Source organism: Homo sapiens, chromosome 3 (assembly GCF_000001405.40).
Source record: "Homo sapiens chromosome 3, GRCh38.p14 Primary Assembly".
NCBI classification, from domain to species: domain Eukaryota; kingdom Metazoa; phylum Chordata; class Mammalia; order Primates; family Hominidae; genus Homo; species Homo sapiens.
In genome coordinates this window covers 16,472,497-16,494,448 of record NC_000003.12, presented here as the reverse complement: position 1 = coordinate 16,494,448, position 21,952 = coordinate 16,472,497, and the positions used below count along the sequence as shown (strand labels likewise).

The 21,952-nt window shown below is 43.8% G+C and overlaps 1 protein-coding gene and 1 long non-coding RNA gene across 11 annotated transcripts in view, besides 1 other annotated feature; one reads left to right on the top strand and one right to left on the bottom strand.

Annotated features, from left to right (window-relative positions):
* Positions 1 to 21,952, top strand: part of RFTN1 (raftlin, lipid raft linker 1) — a 197,855-nt gene that overhangs the window by 19,251 nt on the left and 156,652 nt on the right. For 4 of the 10 annotated variants that reach the window (XM_017006007.3, NM_015150.2, XM_011533530.2 and 1 more), the window contains exon 2: positions 572 to 724. In XM_017006007.3, the coding sequence (XP_016861496.1) occupies positions 580 to 724 (145 nt within the window). In that variant the 5' untranslated portion in view covers positions 572 to 579. Of the gene's footprint in view, positions 1 to 568; positions 725 to 21,649; positions 21,931 to 21,952 lie in introns of those variants that run through there. The other 6 variants (XM_047447783.1, XM_005264985.2, XM_047447780.1 and 3 more) reach the window with 3 other exon arrangements.
* LOC124906219 (uncharacterized) lies at positions 4,917 to 21,658 on the bottom strand. The gene is made up of 3 exons (XR_007095839.1): positions 21,580 to 21,658; positions 17,361 to 17,464; positions 4,917 to 15,048 (listed from the first exon to the last, which is right to left on the bottom strand). It is a non-coding gene; the product is annotated as an uncharacterized LOC124906219 (long non-coding RNA).
* Positions 10,917 to 11,769: an enhancer, noted in NCBI's record as "OCT4-NANOG hESC enhancer chr3:16524187-16525039 (GRCh37/hg19 assembly coordinates)". NCBI's record gives its function as "activates a minimal SCP1, AML or CMV promoter by ChIP-STARR-seq in naive and primed H9 embryonic stem cells {active_cell/tissue: H9 hESC(naive and primed)}" and the evidence as "EXISTENCE:reporter gene assay evidence [ECO:0000049][PMID:30033119]".

The window sequence follows — 21,952 nt, the reverse complement described above, 5'->3', positions numbered from 1 at the left end:
AAAGGGGACTTTCAGACAAGGCCCATAAAAATACCACCATCTACTTTTAGGATGTTTTATGAATATAAATTTCCTGTCTAAATAATTACTGTTGAGGGTAGAAAGGACTCGGAGTTTGGAAACTGTAACAACGACTTATTCTGTGTTAGCAACCACAGTGAAGGTGACACATCTCTTGTTTTTTATAGATGGGCTGACACTATAATGCACCGTATTGCTTTTTAGATTCCATTTTTTATTCATGGATACAGATTATAGTGGAACTGAGGCAGTGGGAGGTATTATTTTCCTCAGATGGGGAAAAAAGATATAAAACAGGTATGCTTTTGGTGTCATTTAAAAAAATCTCAGGACGGCTGGTAATAGTATCTTAGCAGAAGGAGAAGCCAGCCTGAGTACTGAGCACAGTCCTCTGTGTTCAGGTCCTATATTAAATTATACTCTCAGTTTCATAAGGGCTGAGGTCTGTCATGTATTCTTCAGGAAAATTACGGCATCTTTTATACTAGGGTGTTTAAAGACAAAATCTCAGAAAAAAATCACCTCCCCGCCTTTTTCCTTTGGCCAGCAGCTGCTGAAATGGGTTGCGGATTGAACAAGTTAGAGAAACGTGATGAAAAACGGCCTGGGAATATTTATTCAACTTTGAAGAGGCCTCAGGTGGAAACCAAGATAGATGTGTCCTATGAATACCGCTTCCTGGAGTTCACGACTCTGAGTGCTGGTGAGTACATGGGGTGGGAATGGATGGGGGCAGGTGGGGTCTCCAGCAGGGGCCTGCAGGGGATGGGGGTGCAGTTGGAGAGCTGGATGGGGTGGGGGCTGTGAAGAAATGAAAAGGGCAGGCCTGTCTCAAGGGGGCGGCTTACAGAGATCCAGATTTTTATGTGAAATCTCTCACTTTTTAAAAAATAGTGTCTGGGCACAGTGGTTCACGCCTGTAATCCCAGCACTTTGGGAGGCCGAGGCGGGTGGATCACCTGAGGTCAGGAGTTCAAGACCAGCCTGACCAACATAGTGAAAACCTGTCTCTACTAAAAATGCAAAAAGTTAGCCAGGCGTGGTGGCGGGTGCCTGTAGTCCCAGCTACTCGGGAGGCTGAGGCAGGAGAATTGCTTGAACCCACGAGGCGGAGGTTGCAGTGAGCCGAGATCACGCCACTGCACTCCAGCCTGGGCGAGAGAGCGAGACTCTGTCTCAAAAAAAAAAAAAAGCAACGAATTACAGTTTTAACAAATGAAAATCATGTGTGAGCCAAGCAATACATATGGATAGGCTGAATTTGGCCCATGAGCCAACCAGTTTGCAGACTGTTTCATAGCAAGCTCCGTGGAGAAGGAAGGTTTGCCTTCTCTCCTCGTATGAAACTTCCTCTCCACCCAAATTCACCTGCCTGTTGTCTGCCATCTCGCAAGAGGGCTCATTCATCTGGGCTTGGCTTTGCCTTGGCTGAGCCAGAGGGAGTCGGGTCACCTACCATACAAGTGTCCAAGGACTAAGGAAACAGGGAATAGCCCGAGAAGACTGGCAAGGGATGGTCAGCATCAGCATCAGAGCATTTGCTGAGCACCTGCTGTGTGCAGAGTGTTGGGCCAGTGTTGGGGGGGAAGTCGTGAGCCTGTCCTGGCATCTTGGAGTGTTCTATCTGATGGGAGACAGGAGACCCATACAAATGAAAAGAATAAAAGAACTCCACAGGTTTTAATTGTAAGTTGGAAAACAGTATAAGACATGTTTTTGGAAGAGGAAGAACATGCTATTCTTTTTGGGTCCCAGGAGTTTGAGAGCAAAAACTGGGCACTATGTAATGAAGTCATCTGAACACATTTTCTCCCTGGGCTTCTGGATATACTTTAAGCTTCTATGATCAGAAAGGAGAATGAGTGGGAAAAGCCCTCATGCTCATGGATTTGAGTCCTGGCTCTGCCTCAGAGCAACTGGGTAAATCACTGAGCTTCCCAGTCCTGCAGTGTCCTCATCTATAGCAGTGTCCTCATCTATAAAAGGAACACGGGTGTCCACTTCATGGGGCAGTTGTGAAGATTAGAATGGGGTAGATATGTGTGAAGCTCGTAGCACAATGTCTGGCATACAGTAGGGTCTGCAGGTGTTTCTCTTCCTCCCCTCCTCCTTGACTACTCTTTCTGCTGTGACTGTCTCCGTGCGGAGGCTCCAATTGCTTCTTGAGCTCTGAAAAAGGACAGCTGAGTGTCTCTGCAGGGACATTCTGTGCATCCCCCTCAACAAGTCACCAAAACTGAAGCCAGCATCTTCCTTTTCAGATTGCTCCCTTCCGGTGCCCTTGATGGGTCAGTCATGCCACCACCATCCTCTTAAACGTGCAGATACCTATGACCATGCCTTCCCCCTGTGTGTAGTTGCCATTCCTTCACTCAAGCCTATTAAAACCATGTCTGTAAATGCCTCTAATATAGCTAATGTAACATACAATTATTTGGAGCATTTGGTCATGCATTTGGCCCTCCATTTTTTTGTTCAGTGAATTTTTAAGTGCCTACAATGTGCTGGGCATTGCGGGAGGATTAGGGAAAAACAAAAGCGTGTCTAGGAGAAAGGATTGAAAAGAAGTATATCAAGATGTTAAGTATTAGGATGCTGAGATGTTGGGGGAATTCTTTTTTCTCCCATTTGCAGTTGTTTTTTTTTTTTGTTTGTTTTGTTTGTTTGTTTGTTTGTTTTTTGCATCGTGGTTATGTGTTTTTCATTATGACGAAGAGTAACTTTGCTCCTAAGAACCTTCACAAACACATGAAGTTTCCATGCAGTGCTTTGTCCCCCCACTGCTTCATAGCTGGTCTCTGAATGATTTCCCCGACCTCCTTATTTGTTTGTTTCCCTGAGCTTCAGCTGCAGCATCCACACTGCTTTTGTGCATTGTGCTGTCCTTGATGGAATTATCTTTTGTTTTCTGCTTATGAAATAAACATACACCCATTATAATGAGCTAGGACAACACTGGGGGATATCCCACGTGGCCTCCCTGCTCCTGCCCTCGTCCTCCTACAGATCCTGCCAGTTCTCTGCTCAGAGCTCTCCTGTGGCTGCCACCACACCAGGAGTGACATAGCTCTCCTTGACCGCATTCTCCCACTGCTTGTCTTTGGTGTTCCGCTGCTTTGACTTTGCTCTTTTGTGAACCTGCCAGGCCTCCTCTGGGCTTTTGCACTGCCTGTTCCTCTGCCTGGAAGTCCTCCCCCAGGATCCCCCTGCTCATCTTCTTAACCCCCTTCTCTCTGAAACTTTCCTTGACCACCTCTTTAAAATTTCTACCTTCTCCCCAATTCTCCATGTCTTTCCCCTCTTGATTTTCTCCATAGCACTTCTTACCATGTAACCTGCTATATATCTTGCTTATTGCTATTTGTTTCCTCTTTGTTGTCTGCCTTTCTTCATTAGAAGAGAGAATCCCTTCCCATGAGTGCAGGGATTTTCTCTCTTTTATTCTCTGCTGCTCCCTCAGTGCTTAGGACAGTGCCTGGCACTTAAATAGATAATCAGCAAATATTTGCTGAGTGAATACTCACCATGTATTTTTGAATCCTGCTTTTATGCGACTTAACATTGTACAGTGAGGTGTGCACCTGTCATGCCTATGCTCGGAAAGTATGATTTAATGGCTATATATGATTTAATCACTCAGTGTACCATAATTTATTTTGCAGTCCCCTTTTATTGGACATTTAAGTTATTTTGGGCTTTGGGCTATTACAAATAATGTTGTGATAAGCAATATTGTCCATAAATCTTTGTACACATTTCTGACTATTTCCTCAGGAATTACTGAATTGAGGGATGCGAATGTCGGCACTCTTGATAAATTGCCCAGTTGCCCTGTAGATAGGACCTGCTTGTGTAAAACACACATCTGATTCTGCACAACTCTTTAGGGGGTTCCCCTGGATGGATGAAGTTGAGATTCAAGCCAGAGCTCAGGGCTTTCTGTAGCTTGGTCTTGCCCTTCCCAGATCCTCCCCCTATTGTTCCCTGGAGGACAGTGTGTCGTGCCCACTGCCCCCGCCTAGGACCCTCCTTTCTCTGCTTCTCTGATTCAGTGCAGGCAGCTCTTTCTGCACAGGCCCCTACCTCTTACTGCTTGCTAGGACCCCACCCACCTGGATTTGTTCCTTCTTGACAACCATTCTATCAGAATTAGTCTCTTGTGCACGCCTGTAGTTTGTCAATACTGTCCTTTTGACATTTTGATTACATCATATATTAAACCTATTTGTGTTTCCCTCAGGGCAAGGACCAAGCCTTGTTTATCTTTCTGTTTGTCTTCCTTGTTCAGCTTTCTAGCTGAGATGAGCCTGTCTTGCATAGTCGGGTCCTAGTAAACCTAGAACTAAATGCTGACTCCTTTCCCTGGCGGTCTCTCATGTTTTTCTCCCAGGAGTTCTAATGAGATTATTCTTTATTCTCCAGAATGGAGCTGACGTTTGTTGAGTGCTACTATGTGCCCAGTCCTGTGATAGGACATTACGTCCTCACCTCATTTTTCTTTCTTTATTTTGTTTTTTTTTGACATGGAGTCTCGCTCTGTCACCTAGGCTGGAGTGCAATGTTGTGATCTCAGCTCACTGCAACCTCTGCCTCCCAGGTTCAAGTGATTCTTATGCCTCAGCCTCTTGAGTATCTGGGATTCCAAGCATGCACCACTACACACGGCTAATTTTGGTATTTTTAGTAGAGATGGGGTTTCACAATGTTGGCCAGGCTGGTCTTGAACTCCTGACCTCAAGTGGTCCACCCACCTCGGCCTCCCAAAGTGCTGGGCTTACAGGCATGAGCCACTGCACTGGCCTGCTCTCATGTTTCAGAAATTTTTCAGCTTTATCAAGGTATAAATGAAGTACACTACATTGCACATATTTAAAGTGTTCCAACCCATAAAACCCTCATCACATCAAGATGCAGAACATTTCCATTGCCCCAGAAGTTTCCTCATGCCCCTTTGTTATCCCTCCAACCCCAGACAACCACTAATCTCCTCTCCATCACTGATTTTTTTTTGAAGCGAAGTCTCACTCTGTTGCCCAGGCTGGAGTGTGGTGGTGCAATCTCGGCTCACTGCAATCTTCACCTCCTGGGTTCAAATAATTCTTGTGCCTCAGCCTGCCGAGTAGTTGGGATTACAGGTGCCCGCCACCATGCCCAGCTAATTTTTTTATTTTTAGTAGACACAGGCTTTTGCCATGTTGGCCAGGCTGGTCTCGAACTCCTGATCTCAGGTGATCTGCCTGCCTCAGCTTCCCAAAGTGCCGGGATTACAGGTGTGAGCCACCTCACCCGGCCTCCATCACTGATTTTATTTCCCAGGATGTTATATAAATGGAATCAAATAGTACGTACTCTTTTTCAAAACCTAGCTCTTCTCATTCACTCAACTTACTCATTTAAGATTGATTTATGTTGTTTGGTGTGTTTTCTGTTTTACTGCTGAGTAGTATTCTGTTGTTTGATTGTACCACAGTTTGTTTTTCCATTCACTGGTTGATAAACATCTGGGTCATTTCCAGGTTTTGGCTATCACAGGTTAAGTTGCTATGAACATTCATCTTTGTGTGGCTTCTTATGTCATTTTATGTTTGCAGTAACCCAGTAAGGTAGGTGGATACACTCATTTCTTTTTGCAGACAAGGAAATGGATACTCAGCGAGGTTAAGTAACTTGCCCAAAGAGGCAGTGCTAGGAAGTGGTTGGGGGAAGAATTCGAATATAGAATTCTAGAATCTTGGGCATCAAAGCTCTTGTGATGCCAGACTGCAAGATGCGACACAAATAGGCATTAACACCAACTGGAATGTTGTTGTTAGAAAACTTATTATCATGTAGAATGGTATAAGAAGATTCCTCTTCCATAAGGTTTTAACCATAGCAGATTTTTAAATGACACTCTATACACTTATTTTTCATGGAGACGATGCTTATTTGACTCTTAGGCAAATACAAGTCAGGGAGGTATTGGCCCATGTCCACCTGATGGCTTAGGTAGGAAGGGTGCCATGTGCATTTTCCAAAAAGTGAGGATAAGCTGGGTGCAGTGGCTCACGCCTGTAATCCCAACACTTTGGAAGGCCGAGGCAGGGGGATCACCTGAGGTCAGGAGTTCGAGACCAGCCTGACCAACATGGAGAAACCCCATCTCTACTAAAAATACAAAGTTAGCCAGACATGGTGGCACATGCCTATAATCCCAGCTACTCGGGACGCTGAGGCAGAATTGCTTGAACCTGGGAGGTAGAGGTTGCGGTGAGCTGAGATCGCACCATTGCACTCCAGCCTGGGCAACAAGAGTGAAACTCCGTCTCAAAAAAAAAAAAAAAAAAAGTCAGGATCACAGTTAACACTGTTGAGTTTGTCCCTTGCTTAAAGCTCAGTGCTGTTGTTGAAGATACTGGAACATGCAGCCTCACTTGTGGGGCTGGCAGAGGCGAAAGCAGCAGGAATCTTACAGTGAAGCACATAAGCTGCCAAAAATCTCAATTCTGGGTGATTTGATTGGGTCTTAAATTTTCAATTAACTCTGGTCACCGAGGGATGAACCTGCCCTTTGATGGGTTTCATCGCAGATGGAGGCCCATAAAGCATCACAATTTCTGCAAAACGGTACCCCGTTATGCCTTTTATGTGAGCGTTTTGCCAGCCTCTCTGTGCCAGGCCACTCTAACACCACTTGAAAGCTACCTATGTCAGCTCTGTGAAAATCGACTATGTTTTATGCACATTTGGTGCCAGGGACAGTTGGCACGGAGAGCAATCTGTGTAATGAGGCCGGTGCCCAGGGCTTGGGCCTTCCTTGAATGGTCCAGTCCTGCACTGACTAGTACAGGAGCCACCAGCCACATGGTATTTATATGTAATCATTAATTAAAACAAAGTAAAATAGAATATTCTGTTCTTCTGTCACACTAGCCACATTTCAAGTGCTCAGTAGCCATGTGTGGCTGGTGACTGCTATTGGACAGCGCAGACAGAGAACGTTTTTATCATTGCCGAAAGTTCTATAGCTTAACACTGTTCTAGTCTGTTTTCAAGAGAGGAAAATTCGGTTTCAGGTCAGAATCTGTGTCTCTAAGTCATAACAATGTACCATTTTATCATGAAGATTTGCCCTTAGGTTCATAGTGACCATAAGAGGATTCATTGATTCCACAGATATTTATTGAAGGTCAACCTTGGGCCAGATGCCATGTCTTGGGGACATTTGGGTGAACTAGACAGGAGGTGTTCCTGGGTTGCCTTAGTCAGCTCGGGCTGCCATAATAAAATACCACAGACTGGCTTAAACAACAGATGCTTATTTTCTCATAGTTCTGGAGGCTGGAAGTTGCTACCCTGGATATCAAGGTGCCAGCATGGTTGGGTTCTGGTCAGGGCTCTCTTGGCTTGCAGACAACAGCCTTCTCATTGTGTCCTCACATGGCAGAGAGGGAGGGAGGGAAGACGGGGGTTGGGGGGAAGACAGAGAGAGTGAGAAAGAGAGAACAGGAGCGAGCACAAGCTCTCTTGTGTCTCATCTTGTAAGGACACTAGTCCCATCACGTTGTGCCCCATCCTTATGACATGATTTGACCTTCATTACTTTCTTACTCCAAATGTAGTCACTTTAGGGGTTAGGATGATTTGGAAGGACACAATTCAGTCCATAGCACCAGACTATAGATTGGTATTTTACTTTGGTTCAAACTCTCTCACAGATGAAGAACCAGTACTTGATGCTAGAGTAATGGAGACTGATGGGATGGTGGTAGCCCAGGCTTGATGGAGGAGTCTGTGTGTCAAGGAAGACTTGAAATCCTCAGGTGGATTTGGAGTTTTATGCAAATTTGGTGCCAGGGACAGTTGGCTGTTAGTCAGGCAAAAGATGGGAGAAGAGGGTGGAAGCAGATAATCTTTTCACGAAGAGGAGACAACTTGTGGGAGGGATCAAAACACGGAGATAACCCTGCATATGTGGGGAGCCACAGGCAGTTCAGTTTGGTTGGAGCATGTTCTTTGGGGGAGAAGAAAGTAGGGCCAGATGATGAAAGGTCTTAGGTGTTGGGCTGAGGAGTCTAAGCTCAAAAGCACTGAAGGTTTTTAAGATGGAGGGGGTGCAGGTGACATCAGATTCTCATTCTGGAAAGATTTCTCTGGATTTAGAATGAGGAAGGATGGAAGGGGCAATGCTGGGGGAGGGGAAACATATAGAAACCATTGCAGTCATCAGGCAAGGTAAAGGTGGCCTCAGTCAAGACAGTGGCAGTGGGGACAAGAAAAGGAGTGGGGGAAAGAGAAATTAGGAGGTGGTCCTAGGGACTGCCTGGCAGGTGAAGGAAAGCAGAAAGCAGAGGAGGAGGTGGGTGTGCTGGGCACCTGGGATGACACGAGTTCCCCACAGCCAGATGCTGAGTCTGCTTTAAAGCATTCTCCAATAATGCTCTCACTTGATGATTCAAGTAGCCCCGAAAGTTGAAAGGAAGGTATTTTTCTTTTCTTTTCAGATGAAGAAATTGATTTGGCAGGTAACAAGTAGTAAGTGGGCCCAGAATCCAGTGTTTCAGCTCTTTCCACTCAAAGCTTATCCACCGCACATGAAAGAGAGCTCAGCGCCAACTGCCAGTCCACTGAAGGGTGTCGCAGTGATATTTGTTTGAATAACTTTATTGAACTATAATTTAAATACCATGAAACACACCCATATGAAGTGCCTGGGTGATGAGTTCTGATAGGTGTAAACATTTGTAGAACTATCACCACACTCAAGATATAAAACTTTTCCATCACCCCAGAAAGTTCCCTCAGGTGCCTGCCCTGACCCAGCCAACTGCTGATCTGCTGTGTCACTGTTGAATAGTTTTGCTTCTTTTTGAATAACATGTACATAGAATCATACCGTGTGTGTGCCTCTGGCTTCTTTAACTCAGCCTAATGCCTTTGCAGTTCAATCTGTGCTGTTGTATGTATGGAGTCCTTGATGTTGTATGTATGGAGTCCTTGCTGTTGTATGTATGGAGTCCTTGTTGTTGTATATATGGAGTCCTTGCTGTTGTATATATGGAGTCCTTGCTGTTGTATGTATGGAGTCCGTGCTGTTTTATGCATGGAGTCTGTGCTGTTGTATGTATTGAGTCCTTGCTGTTGTGTGTATCAAGAGTTAATTCCTTTTTGTTTCTGAGTAATATTCCCTTGTTTGCATGTGCCACAATTTGTTGAATCATTTTCCTGTTGAACATTTGGGAAATTTCCAGTTTGGGGCTATTATGAAAAAAAAAAGCTGAATATCCACGAACAAGTGTTTTGTGTGGATGTTTTCACTTCTGTTGGGGAAATATGTAGGAGTGGAATTGTTGGGTTTATGCTAAATACATGTTTACCTTTATAAGATACTGCTCAACTGTTTTCCAAAGTGTTTGTTCTATTTTACATTTCCAACAACAATGTATGAGAGTAGAGAGCTTCATTTTTTATAGGTAATAATCAGAGTTACTTTTTATTCAGCACCTACTGTTGTATTAATCTCTTCTAAACAAACTAACAACAATCTTATGAGGTAGGTGGAGTCACCCCCACGGTATAGAAGAATAAATTGAGATATTGAGTTTGGAGCAGTTATAAAAGAAACTTGCTAGGCCACCAAGCACTTGGAGCTTTGCAGGATATCTTGTAGTTTTACTGAACAGCAAAGCCTTCACTTTGGCTTTCTTGGTTCCTGAATCTTCTGTGTGCTGTGGTGGGTTTAAACTAAATTGAAGGGCTTCAACATGAAAAAGTTCAAAGGTAATTTATTCACCTTTGCCCCTTTCTCAAGCTTGTCTTCTTCTATTTCTATTCTTAAGTTCCTCCTTATAAGACATTCCCATGACACGCATTACAATTTCGAGGATCATTCCACACTGCTGCATTTTACAAATTCCCATCTTTGTGGTTTTCCTGTCTAAGAGGACTTTAAGAACTGATTTTCGGGATGTTTTCTTCGACATTGTGCTGACCAGGCTCATACTTGGCTTTCGGCCACCAGCATTCTAGCCTTAAACTCTGTATATAAATTTTGGGTGGTCATGATAATAACAGGATGACATTCCTTATTCAAGACATGCACATTGCGCAATAAGTTTTCTACAGGTCCAGTTTTTCTTTGACCTCCAGTCTGGGGGGTGTTAGTCTGACACACAACTACAGAAGCAGCTGATAATCATTGTTTATAAGAGTTGTCCTTTCAGTCTCCCTTCACGGCTGGGAAAAAGACTAATCTAAAAAAATGGATCATGATTTACATTATATTCTGAAAATTAAGAAATGAAAGTTGTGGGGAGCTAAGTGTTTGGGTGCCTAATGGCTAGTTATAAATCCTGGCACTATTAGCCTTTCTGATTTCGTGAAGGGAGATGATAGGCCAGTTCCATGGCCTCATCTAAAATAATGTCAATCTCCAGAAAAGCCTTTAAAACTAATCATTAGCTTAAAGGAGTGGTTCCCAACCTTGAGAGTGAATCAGAATAGCCTGGAGGGCTTGTCAAAATGCAGAGTCCTGGGCCCCATCCTCAAAGTTTCTGATTTAGTAAGTCTAGGGCAAGGCCTGAGAATCTGCTTTTGTAATAAGTTCCCAGGCAATGCTGATGCTGCTGGTCTGGGGACCACACTTGGAGAACCTTAAAAGATCATGTGGAGTACAATTTTTTTTTTTTTAATTTGAGTGGAGATGGCAGAAAAAAATTATACTAGTGTGATCTTTTGAGTATAAAATAAATTCAACAAATGTTTACTTACCTACCTATGTATTATGACCAAATCATAACTTACTTTCTTTAGGTGACTTGGAATATATTTGGGAGGACAGGCCAGAGGAATAAAAATAAGGATACAAGGTGACACAATGATTCTCAAAGTTTGTTTAAAAAGTTCCCATGCCCAGCTGCACACCAGACCCATTAAGTCAGTCTTGGTGTTGTGGTTTGGTTCTGTGTCCCCACCCCACCTACAGTTGACACTACAGAACAGGTGTCAACAGACTCAGCTTAAGTCTGTGATGTCTCAGGGAGCTGGCTAAGATGGATACCTGGCTGCTGGTGCCTGCAGGTTCTGGGAGGGAGGGGGGTGCTTTACAGGGGAGCCCAACATCGTAAACTAGGGAAAGGAAGGAAGAGAATTGGAGGGGATGAGTACTTATTTGCATTACAGGAGGATTCTTGGTTTAAAGTGGGTTTCACCATGGGGTTCCTTTAGATAGAGCCTCAAGTACTCTGAAGTGTTTGTTTTGCCTTTCCTTAATGAGGTATTTATTACCTCTCTGTAAATATGATACCTGCAGTTTTAGAACATAACAAATCCATCTATAACATTTGCAGCTCTTCAGCAGAACTGAGCATACAGTCACTGACGTTGATGGCATTTTTTCTAAGTAAAAACAAACAAACCTTGGAGCAAAATGTCAGAAGCCCTGGAGGAGGGAAGGTGGATGGCTAGAAGGGAGGCTCTAAGCAGCCCTTGATACTGCTGCAAGAGGCCCCAGGGTCAGAGTTGGGTGGGGCGGGACTTTCTATATTTCCGCAAATTTAAGCTCACCCCGGTGGGAGGCTCCTCCTCGTACAGTCCTTCATCTTCATGGCAGAAAGGCTGTTCTGCCCCTGCGCCCTCCCTGGCCTCTCTGGGGATCCCTGCAGCTGATGTATTGTGATGGAGCAGTGGACTTGGATGCTGCTGGTATTGATATAATCATTGTTAACAGTAGCAACAGTAATAACAGCTAATGTGGCATGCATGGTGCTCAGTGTCAATTAATCCTTATAGAGATCTTGATTTTACAAATGAGGAAACAAGGCTCAGTGAGGTTACCTAATGTGCCCGTGGTTCTGCAACGAATGTGTGATGAGCTAGAATCAGAACTCAGACTTGCCTTCTTCAATTCTTTACTCTTAAGGATTGTGGACAATACCAAAGGTCCCTCGGGTATGGCTTTGAGATTTGGTTGGCTGTGATCGGTCATTCAAGGACCCCAGCTTTGATGTTCTCTTTTTGATTGAGCCCTACTCTAGGGAGAATTTGGCTGCATGTTTTGGTGAATCATAGATGGTGGGGATGAGAATAGACTGAGTGGTTGAGCATTGTCTTATGCTGTGTTGTTTGCAATGCAGCTTGATATACTTTAGCTCAATTCATCCTTACAAGTCTAGAGATGTTTTTTGTTCTGCTTGACAAATAGGGAGCCTGACAAATAGGGTGGTCTTGTCTTACAGAGCCGCAGCTTGCACTGAGGTCTTCCGACTCCATGTGCCCTGTGTGTCTTGCTGCTGCCTGGGACCCACAGAGTCTCTGAGGGTCCGGAGCCACATTAAGGGTCATGCTGCCCATGACCTGTTGGTGACCACTTTCCTTAGGTATCAAGAACATGAGTGTTGGTCAATAACCCACTGGAGCGTAGTGCTGGCTTCTGTTGTTCCCAGCTTTAAAATAGGGCTAGGTTTGACCTCCAGCTCAGATTCAGAAGGCCAAGTCTGAGCTTGAGTATGTGTGGATGGCTGCCACTTAGTCCCAGTTTTGTAAGTGTGCCAATATCGGGACTTTTCCTGTGCTGAATATAGACTCCTCCTTTGCTGAAAATAGTATATGCGGTAGGGTAGGGAAACATTTTTCTTTCCTAGAAAATCGCTCCTTGCTCCTCTAGGTAACATTGACTTCTGTGAAACCATCTGTTTCTTCCAATATAATTTCCAGACTATTAGATTAAACAGTTTCTCCTGACCCACTTTTGGCTTCTGTTTCTTTTCACTGTTCATTAATAAATTGTGTAGCAGAGTTTTTATGGAGAGTGTGTGTGTGTCTATTTATTTAATTTCAGTTTAGGCAAAAGCAATTGTTGGATGCAGTGAAGTTATTTAACTTCCTACTTGTGTTTCATTTTTGTTTCCGGTTTCTATAATTGCTAAGAGTTGGTTTTTGTTTTTGAGATTCATGCAAGGAAGTCAATGGCATGAGTTATGAGTTGAGGTTCTGGCTGGGAGGTGTGTTAAAAACAGACCATGTTTTTAAACAGAAGATGCAAAGAGTAATAAGGAAATCGGTTCCCATAAAACATGTCTCAAAGTAGATAAATATGCTCTTACAGTTTGAAGAGATTTTCAAAAGATAAATGAGATAATATGTGTGACGTAGCTTTAAGTTTTTCTGAGCAAAGCTGTTATATTCATCTTTGGTATTGTTGCTTTTGATGTTGCGACCAAGTCTGCTATTAGCGTTAGTGTTATTGTTAAATATTCACTAATGGGAGTAATAAGATTAGATTTAAAAGGAAGGAAGGCATTCTTTACATTCCTTTGCATTCCTTTCTGAATGTAAAAACTCTTCATGCTGTTTTCCCAGCTACTCTAAATCCAGACCAAGAAGCAACACTACTCAGTCTTGTATGAAAATGGGCTCAGGTGTGTGTGTGTGTGTGTGTGTGTGTGTGTGTCTGTGTGTGTGTGTGCATGTGCATATGTGTGTAACCCAAGCAGTAAATTTCAGCAACTAAGCCTGCCTTCAGTAAAATGAAATTCCTTGCTGATGACTGTTATCTGTCAAAGCAAAACCAAATTATTTTTCTGCAGGGATTCATAAAAGCAGCCTTGAGGTAGTGGTAATAATTGTTATCTAATTTGGTTAAAGCGGAACAGAAAACAAGTTAATATTCTATGCACCCTACTAATTATTATTAGCAATATTGCGTTAAAGAATTTTAAGCTTTCTCTAATTTCACTGGGTCCACTGTCATTTTATAGTTTGACCATATTTCACCAATGCTTCAGAAGACAGGAGTCCTGTTGAATTTTATCTACGAAATATTTTCAAAAGCAAATCTGGTGTGAAAAGGTAGGTGATTCTGGCCTCAAGTTGCATGCCACTGTCATTAAGTCTAGAAGGTCATTTCCTCAGTTCTGTGTTTCAGGCATACTCTTCTTTGTTTACAGGTCAGGGCTCCTGATAAGTAAAAATTACATGGGCAAGGAGTACCTGCTACACTTAGCAGCCACTGAGATGTTTTTCTATTCTGTTGCATAAACATACTTTGCAGGTACATACACATGATTTATCAGGAGGAGTACACATTAGTTTGACAGCCTCATTGGGCCCTCTTAAAAGAGGGAAGGGATTATTTCACTTGGGCATCCCTAGTGTAAGCTCAGAATTAGTTTGTAAGCATGAGTACAACATGGCACTATAAGGAATGCATGTTGCTTTGACACAAGATAGGTATAATAATATATTCCCAAGGGAGCTGGCAAGCTTGTGGGTGGACTTTTCTTTTTGGAGAAAGCAGTCTTGTCTGGCAAAGTTACTTAACAAAATTGATCCATTCAATATTTATTGATTATCTACTCTTTTTCAGGCTCTGTATTGAGCATGCAATGGTGAACAAGATAGTAAGGTCTCTCAATGTAGGAAACAGCGTCTGAAACATCCCACCAAATTCTGGAGTTTTTAATGTCCTAGTCTGGTGTCTGTTCTCCTATATCTGGAAACCAGGCCAGCTTGGGTATAGCCCTAATAGAGTCTGTGTGTTATCTTGGAGAAGCATCTGCCATGATTTACCATTATTTGCCTTTGGCCTGCTGCACCTTGCATGGCTAGAGACTTGTCTGCTGTTTGGTAGGTGCAGGGGGCCCTGGAAATCCTAAACCAAATCTAATCTTTGGACCCACCAACCAAACTGCAGCTTGGAAAAGGTACCTCAATCAAACGAGCTTCCTGGGGGTGAGTGGACTCATCAGGGCTGCTGATGCCAACAGGCTGAACTTTTAAGGCCTTAATAGATGCATCAAAGATGCCCTGAGCATGGGCTCACCGGTCTTCAGTCCATCATGGCTTGCTTGGTGAGAAATGGTCGAGATGAAGTGTGTGAAAGAAAAGTTACTGATGCTGTTTCTAATAGCCCAGGCTGGAATAATGCTGTAAAGGTGTGCAAGGAATGGGGAGAAGGATGTTGAGGTTTTTCTGGATTGCCTTCCATATCCCTCAGACTGGTGATCCAACTGTTTCTTTTCTTACCACTGTTTCTTGCCAATCTAGAGACTGTAAATGAAAACAAAAACTTACTCTCATGTCTATAAGTAGTTTCTTATTGTGGACTTCATTTAATGAATTAGCCTAAAACAACTAAAAACCAAGAAAATATCTTTTTTCTTAATACCATTTACTTTCTTGGATATAAAGTGTGAATTCAGAAGTGGCTTAAGGCAAGTGATGGGGATCAGTGTCCCTGAGGGGTGAACCAGCCAAGGTTTTGTTCTCCTACCTGCAAGGAATGTTAGAGTACTATACAGTGCTTGGGTTTGGGAGCCAAGTTACCTAATGAAAAAGCAACTTTAACTCAACTTTCCTGCTCATTAGTGTTATGATATCAAGTAGCATGGTGGACATCTGCCAAGATGGCCCCCAGTGACCCCTGCCTACTGGTATCCACGGCCTTGTGTACCTAGTGAATTGCTTCTAGTGAACAGGATACAGCAAAAGTGATGGGTTATCACTTCCGAGATTAGGTTACAAAAAGATTGTAGCTTCCATCTTGCACTCTCCCGCTCTCTCTTGATTACTCCCCTGAAGGAAACTGGTTGCCGTGTTGTGAGCTGACCTGTGGAGAGACCCATGTGGCAAGGAACTGAGGGAGGCTTCCTGTGAACAGGCAGTGAGGAATTGGGGCCCTAAGCCCAATAGCCCTGGGGAAAGTGAATCTGAATCTTGCTCAACAACTGTGTGCATGAGCTTGGAAGTGGATCTTCCCCCAGTGGAGCCTTGAGATGACTTCAGCCCTGGCCAATGTCCTCAGGCAACCTCATGAAAGATTTTGAGCCAGAGGCACCCAGATAAGCTGCACCTGGATTCCTGACTCACAGAAACTGTGAGAAAATAAATGTTGTTTTAAGCCACTGTTTTGTGGTAATTTGTTATATATTAATAATGCAGGCAGTTTATGTTAAAAAGTCTTGCTTCTATATGAGAGACAACATCATGGAGTTGTTGGGAGCACAGACTCTTGAACCAACCTGGTTTCAAATTCTGGCTCTGCTGCTTATTAGCTGTGTGAGCTTGAGAAAGTCACTTCACTTCTCTGTGCCTCAGTTTCCTTATTGGGAGATGGGAAATGTAGCTTTTGGCCCCCGGGCTCTATATTTCAGGAAGATTAGCTAGAAAGAGGTGGAAATGGGTTTTAATTGACACAGCCCACAGTCTGTGTCACAGTGAGTATAACAAAGGGGTCACATTAATAGTTTTTGTGACACTCTCAAGTCACTTAAACTCCCCCAGGAAGCTCCTGTTTGGTTGGGGACAATTTTCCAGAGGAAGGGGCAGCTGTGAGTGCTTAGCAGCCACCACACAGCACCTGGGAGATGGGAGCGATGGTCCTTTAAAGACCATCAACAAGAGTGGTCCCTACGATGTTCTTCTGCTAATCTAGAAGCAAATGATCACTGTGTTGATTTTTCCATTTTTGTCATTTCTTTGATACTGTGGAGACACATGCTTAGCATGTTTTTCTAATTTCATGCCATGGGCCTGTTGAGCAGAGCTCATCACTTCTCAGATTAAATTATATGTTTAAGAAATGCCTTCTGCGTCAACCAGTTATTCATCAGCCTGGTTGTAAGTGGCTAAGCCTGGCTTTCAGCTGTGAAAGTCAAGATTTGTGACATTTAAACATATTGATGAGATGCAAATGTCCTGTGGTTAGCCTTCCACAAGGCCCTAGCACTCATGTAAATAAATGAGAAGGAATTGGAAGTGTGGGCAGCAGAGCCCTCCCTTGAATAGGAAAATTGTTTTTTCCTGGGTGCCAGCATCTGGTCGCTGCCGTCAGTGGTAATGAGGTTTGGCTCTTCCCATATGTCCCTGATTCATTGCAGGTTGTTTATTTGTAGATACAACTTGGTTGTTTTTCTCCTTTTTCTTTTCTTTTTTTAAACTAGGTTTCCCTAATTCAGCACCACCACAGCCTCTCTAAAAATAAGCATCAAATTATTTGTCTAGGGAAACATTTTTTTAAATGATACTAGCTCTCCTCAACTTGTGAAAGTTTCTTGTGTCTTCTTGCTGTTTTCACTTTATCTGCTCTCTAGCAGAAAAATAAAATTGCATTCAATTGACACACTTTCCTGCTGGGAATTCAAGACATATTACAGCCCTATCTGTGTGTTCTCAGTTGTGATGAAACTGTGGAAAATCCCCAGCAACCTTAAATGAGATAGGTGCAGGTGATTAATCCAGTTTCAGGAAAAAAACCAAATAATTTACTCCTTTTTCCCCATTAAAGAAACAACCATGCATTGAGGTAGCTGATGCCATGTGAGCAGGAGTGTGCTTTAATGGAGGCACCATTAATAATTTACCTTAATAGTGTAATAGTTGCCATTTTTGTGACCAAAAATTTGTTTCAGCCCCTGCTTTATGGATGAAAAGTAGGATCAATTAATATTGAGTGATGACAGCCTCCCTGTGGAGAGAAAATGGGAAATCTTGGTGTCGTCATCCGCCTTATGACTAAGAAATAGCTTTTCTTAATTGTACGGAACAGAGAAACCCAGGGGGATGTAATTCATTTCTCTCCAGGCTTGCAATGTAAATTGAAAGTAAAGAAAAATAACCACATGCCAGAGTGAGGACATGAACTCAACCACTAAGCTATATCTGATTTGTAGGATTTGCTGAAAGTAAACAAACAGTTTCCCCCACGATGGTGAGTCTCCTTCGACTGTGGCATTGCTCCAAATACCTCTTATAGCACATGACCCAGGGTGTTTCTCTCTGATGGGGTAATGGAGCCCCTCTGCCTAGAAGCCTTGGGTCCCAGGTCTTCTCCCAGTTCATTCACTCTTCCCTCCCATCCTTATAGTCTCTGCCTAAATGCTAGCTTTTCAGAGAGGCCTTCTTTTACCACCTTGCCCCAAACAGCCTCTTTCCTTGCCCAACTCACTGTCAACCTCTGTTTCTATCTTATTTTCTTTGTGGAACTTACGATCATCTGAAATCATATTATTGTTTATGTGGTATTTACCATGTCCTCCAACCATAATGGTAAGCTCCATGAGGGCATGGTTTGTCCTTGTTCTCTAAGCAGCTAAATCCTTAGGGCCTCAGTGCTGAGGATGCTTGTTGAATGACTGAATGAGTGAATGATTAATATGAAAATGCAATAATTCAGAATAATTTAAAACTCTTGCACATGCACACCAGCTTTCTGTAAAGGTATATTGACTTTAAGGTTCCCCTCTGCCTTCTCCATCTTGAGCCCCTACTGGCAGAACCCAATAGAAATTCAACTGGCAAAGCGAGGATGCAGTTTGCACAGTCCTCGCCCCACCACACAGGTCAGACTTGGATCAGAAAGATGGCAACTAAATGACCAGCACAGTCCAACCCTTCAGATTCTCAGCATTCACATATCCTCCTGCACATTTTCAACTTGGCACAACAGCAGGACAGCTTTGTTTCTGCCTATGATGTGTCTATGCTTCATGCAGTATTCACACTCTTAAGGGAAGACAAAAAGTCCCAGTTGGCATGGTGTCTGTCTCTGGGTGGCATAAATTATTTTCCTGGTTCAGTCTGTAGGATATAGAATATTTATCTGGGATTGGTGGAATGAGAGGAGGAATTAACATTGCTTCAATATGGAAACCGTGACTGCTGGGACTTGGCTTTTGCCCTCAGCCAGCACCTTCTGTGGCAGAGGTTTATTTATTACCCGGTGGAATAACCTAGGGATCTCAATCCTCAGTGATTCTCTCTGTGTGTCTGTTAGTTGCTTTAGTTTTCCATTGATTTTTACTCTTGGACATGGAAGTACCAAGAGGCACTCTAGAGACTCTCCAGGTGCCAGGCATACTCTTCTCTGCCCCTGTTGTATGGCAGCAATGGCACCAGTCCAGTTTCCCTGTGGAAATTGGGATCATTCACCTCACCCAGTAGGGTAATTGCCTTCTTTGCCTTTTGTTTCTGTGGCATTGGTAGTCTAAAATAGCCAAGGGGCAATCTCAACTTCTAGTTCAGTAAAACCATTGCAGTGTCTCCTGGAGGAAGCATTCCTCTCTTGGGAACCAGCAGCTCCAAATCTGCAGATTCAAAAATTGTGGGGCTGGTAAGCAAAACTCTAAACATACTAGGTGTCTTGGTCTGTTTGTATTGCCATAAAAGAATACTTGAAACTGGGCAATTTATAAAGAAAAAAAGTTTATTTGGATTATGATTCCACCAGCTGTACAAGAAGCATGGCGTCAGCATCTGCTTCTGGTGAGGGCTTCCAGGAGCTTCCAAACATTGTGCAAGTGGAAGGGGAGCTGGTGTGTCACATGGTGAGAGAGGAAGCAAGAGACGAGGAGGTGCCATGCTCTTTTAAACAACCAGTTCTCACGTGAACTCACTCATTACCTCGAAGGAGGACAGCAAGCCTTTCGTGAGGGATCCGCCCCTATGACCCAAACACCTCCCACTAGGCCCCACCTCCAACGTGGGAGATCAAATATCAATATGAGATTTGGAGGGGACAAATATCCAAACCATATCACTAGGTTTAAGAGGAGAGGAGCCATTTTTGCTTCTACCCCTTGATGGCTAGTCCTGTGTATTCTGGCTGGGGAAGAAATAGAACTGATGCAGCTTGTATTCTTTGTCCCGAAAGAGTCCAACTTGTCAAGATGTCATCTCCCAACTGGCTCCATGGGGAATGTTGGGCTAACAAATGGTGCTTTTTAAAACAAAGTACAGAATTTTTGCAAATACAGTAGTGGCTAAGGTTCTTTTGACTTTAACACTGCATTGCATGGTGAATCAGTGGTTTAAAAATTGCATTGGAGGGGAGCCTATTTTTTTTTTCTTCACCTCTCCTTGAGTGCTTTAAAGTGGCCATCAGATGCCCATAGATGTCCAGTCTGCTGTTCCCAGCATCACTCATCACCAGAGAATCGGCTGGCTTCCTGGGGGTGTACTGGTATCTTTCTCATGGTCAGCCTTTGTTTATCTTGGGGGAGGAGGGCAAATAGCAGCAGCATTCACTAATTAATCAGCAGCTGTGTAGCAGTCCATCACCCTGCATGTCAGGGAATAGTGCTGGCAGAGTGATTAAAAGCATGGGCTGTAGTGTGGCACAGCTCTGGGCTGAGGCCTGCAGATTTGCTGGGAGACCCATCTCTCTCATTTGCTCTGTGACCTCGGATGAGTTACTTAGGCCCTGTGAGTCTGAGTTTCTTATCTGTAAAATGCAGTATATTTCCTGGCGTTGTTAGAATTGAATAAAGTCATCAGAAAAGGCATTGGTTAGACCCCTAGATAATTCTCAGTAAATGATAGCTATTTTTATACCAAATGCAAAGAAGAGTCAAATGTAAGTGCAAGATTTCCTCCCCAAGACAGGAATGATGTAAAGAATTCCTTTGAACCTTCATTCCTTCATCTGCAAAATGAGGGCGTTTGTCCTAATCAATCCCTCTCCAAGGGCTGTTGTTCACCATATTGGGTGGGCAACTGCACGATAGAACAGTGTGGAATGTGGCACAGCCCAGGTCACCAGGACCACAGGCATTGGTCAGAGAAGTCAGTGTTCACAAGGGCGAGGGCAGCCCGGAGAGGTAGGTTTCGTGCTTCTAGGACAGGGAAGGATAGGGAGAAGTGGGAGGACTTTGAGGGACTCTCCGTCTCTGAGGGAGTAGCCAGCAGGGTGGAAGAAAGTAAAAATGCCTTGTACTAATAGAATGCTTTCAAGAATACCGAGTATTTGGCCAGGTGCAGTGGCTCACAACTGTAATCTTAGCACTTTGGGAGGCCAAGGCGGGTGGATTGCCTGAGCTCAGGAGTTCCAGACCAGCCTGGGCAACACGGTGAAACTCCGTTTCTACTAAAAAAAAATACAAAAAAATTAGCCAGGCAGGGCGGTGCATGCCTGTAGTCCCAGCTCCTTGGGAGGCTGAGGCAGGAGAATTGCTTGAACCCAGGAGGCAGAGATTGCAGTGAGCCGAGATCACACCACTGCACTCCAGCCTTGGCGACAGAGCCAGACTCTATCTCAGGAAAAAAAAAAAAAGAAAAAAGAAAGAAAACAGAGTATTTTTGTGGACCTTATTTAATCATCTGACAGGAAGGTACTTCAAGTCTTACTGGATTTTTCAATAGGTGTGATAAGATGATCAATATGTGGACATTTGGCACCCCACAGCACACCCAGTCACCTGGTATCATGGAGTCTGGCCCAGTATTGGGGTGGAGGTGGTATACTGTGGTCAACAGTGTTGACCTAATTGTGCTGAAGGAATAGACAGGCAATTGCAGACTGAAAGTACTGTTTGTGTATGTGTGTACGTGTGTGTACACCATGGTTGTCCAAAGTCACTTCCTCAGAAAATCTAAATGGGAAATGAGTGTTATCGATGAGTTCATTTATAGCCAACAGATTTCCTAGTATCATTTAGAAGGGAGATGAACTTTTGGGGTCGCCCTACCTGTCTGACTCTGTGCAGATGAGGAAACTGAGGCCATTGTTGGAGAAAGAAATCTCCCAGGGCCAGTCAACCTGGTAGTGCCAGCCCCTGGAAGAATCCAGAGTTCTTGGTGACTCACCATGGCTCCACACTGGCCCCTTGCCTCAGCTTTCGGTCGTGTAACATTGTGTTAATTGCTTCAGCTTCAGGCGTCACTCCTGTGTAATGAAGAGACCAGAATGTCAGCCTGTGAAGATCATCATGTGTTGGGACAAAGCCCTCCTCCATTTCGAACAGGAAGTCACGTTCTCCTGGAGTGGGAAACATAACTGAGAATCGTTTCTGCCTTGCCAAGATTCCGCATATTAATCAGGCCGGTTGTTCCTTGTAATTCTAGAATGTTCTGGCTGAGTTCTCATCAATGCCTCCTGGTCCAGTCCTCCCACCATACACCTGTCAGAAGTTCCTGCACCCCTTTGGGCTCCTCCAGGTTTTCTGTCCTCTTCCTGGCT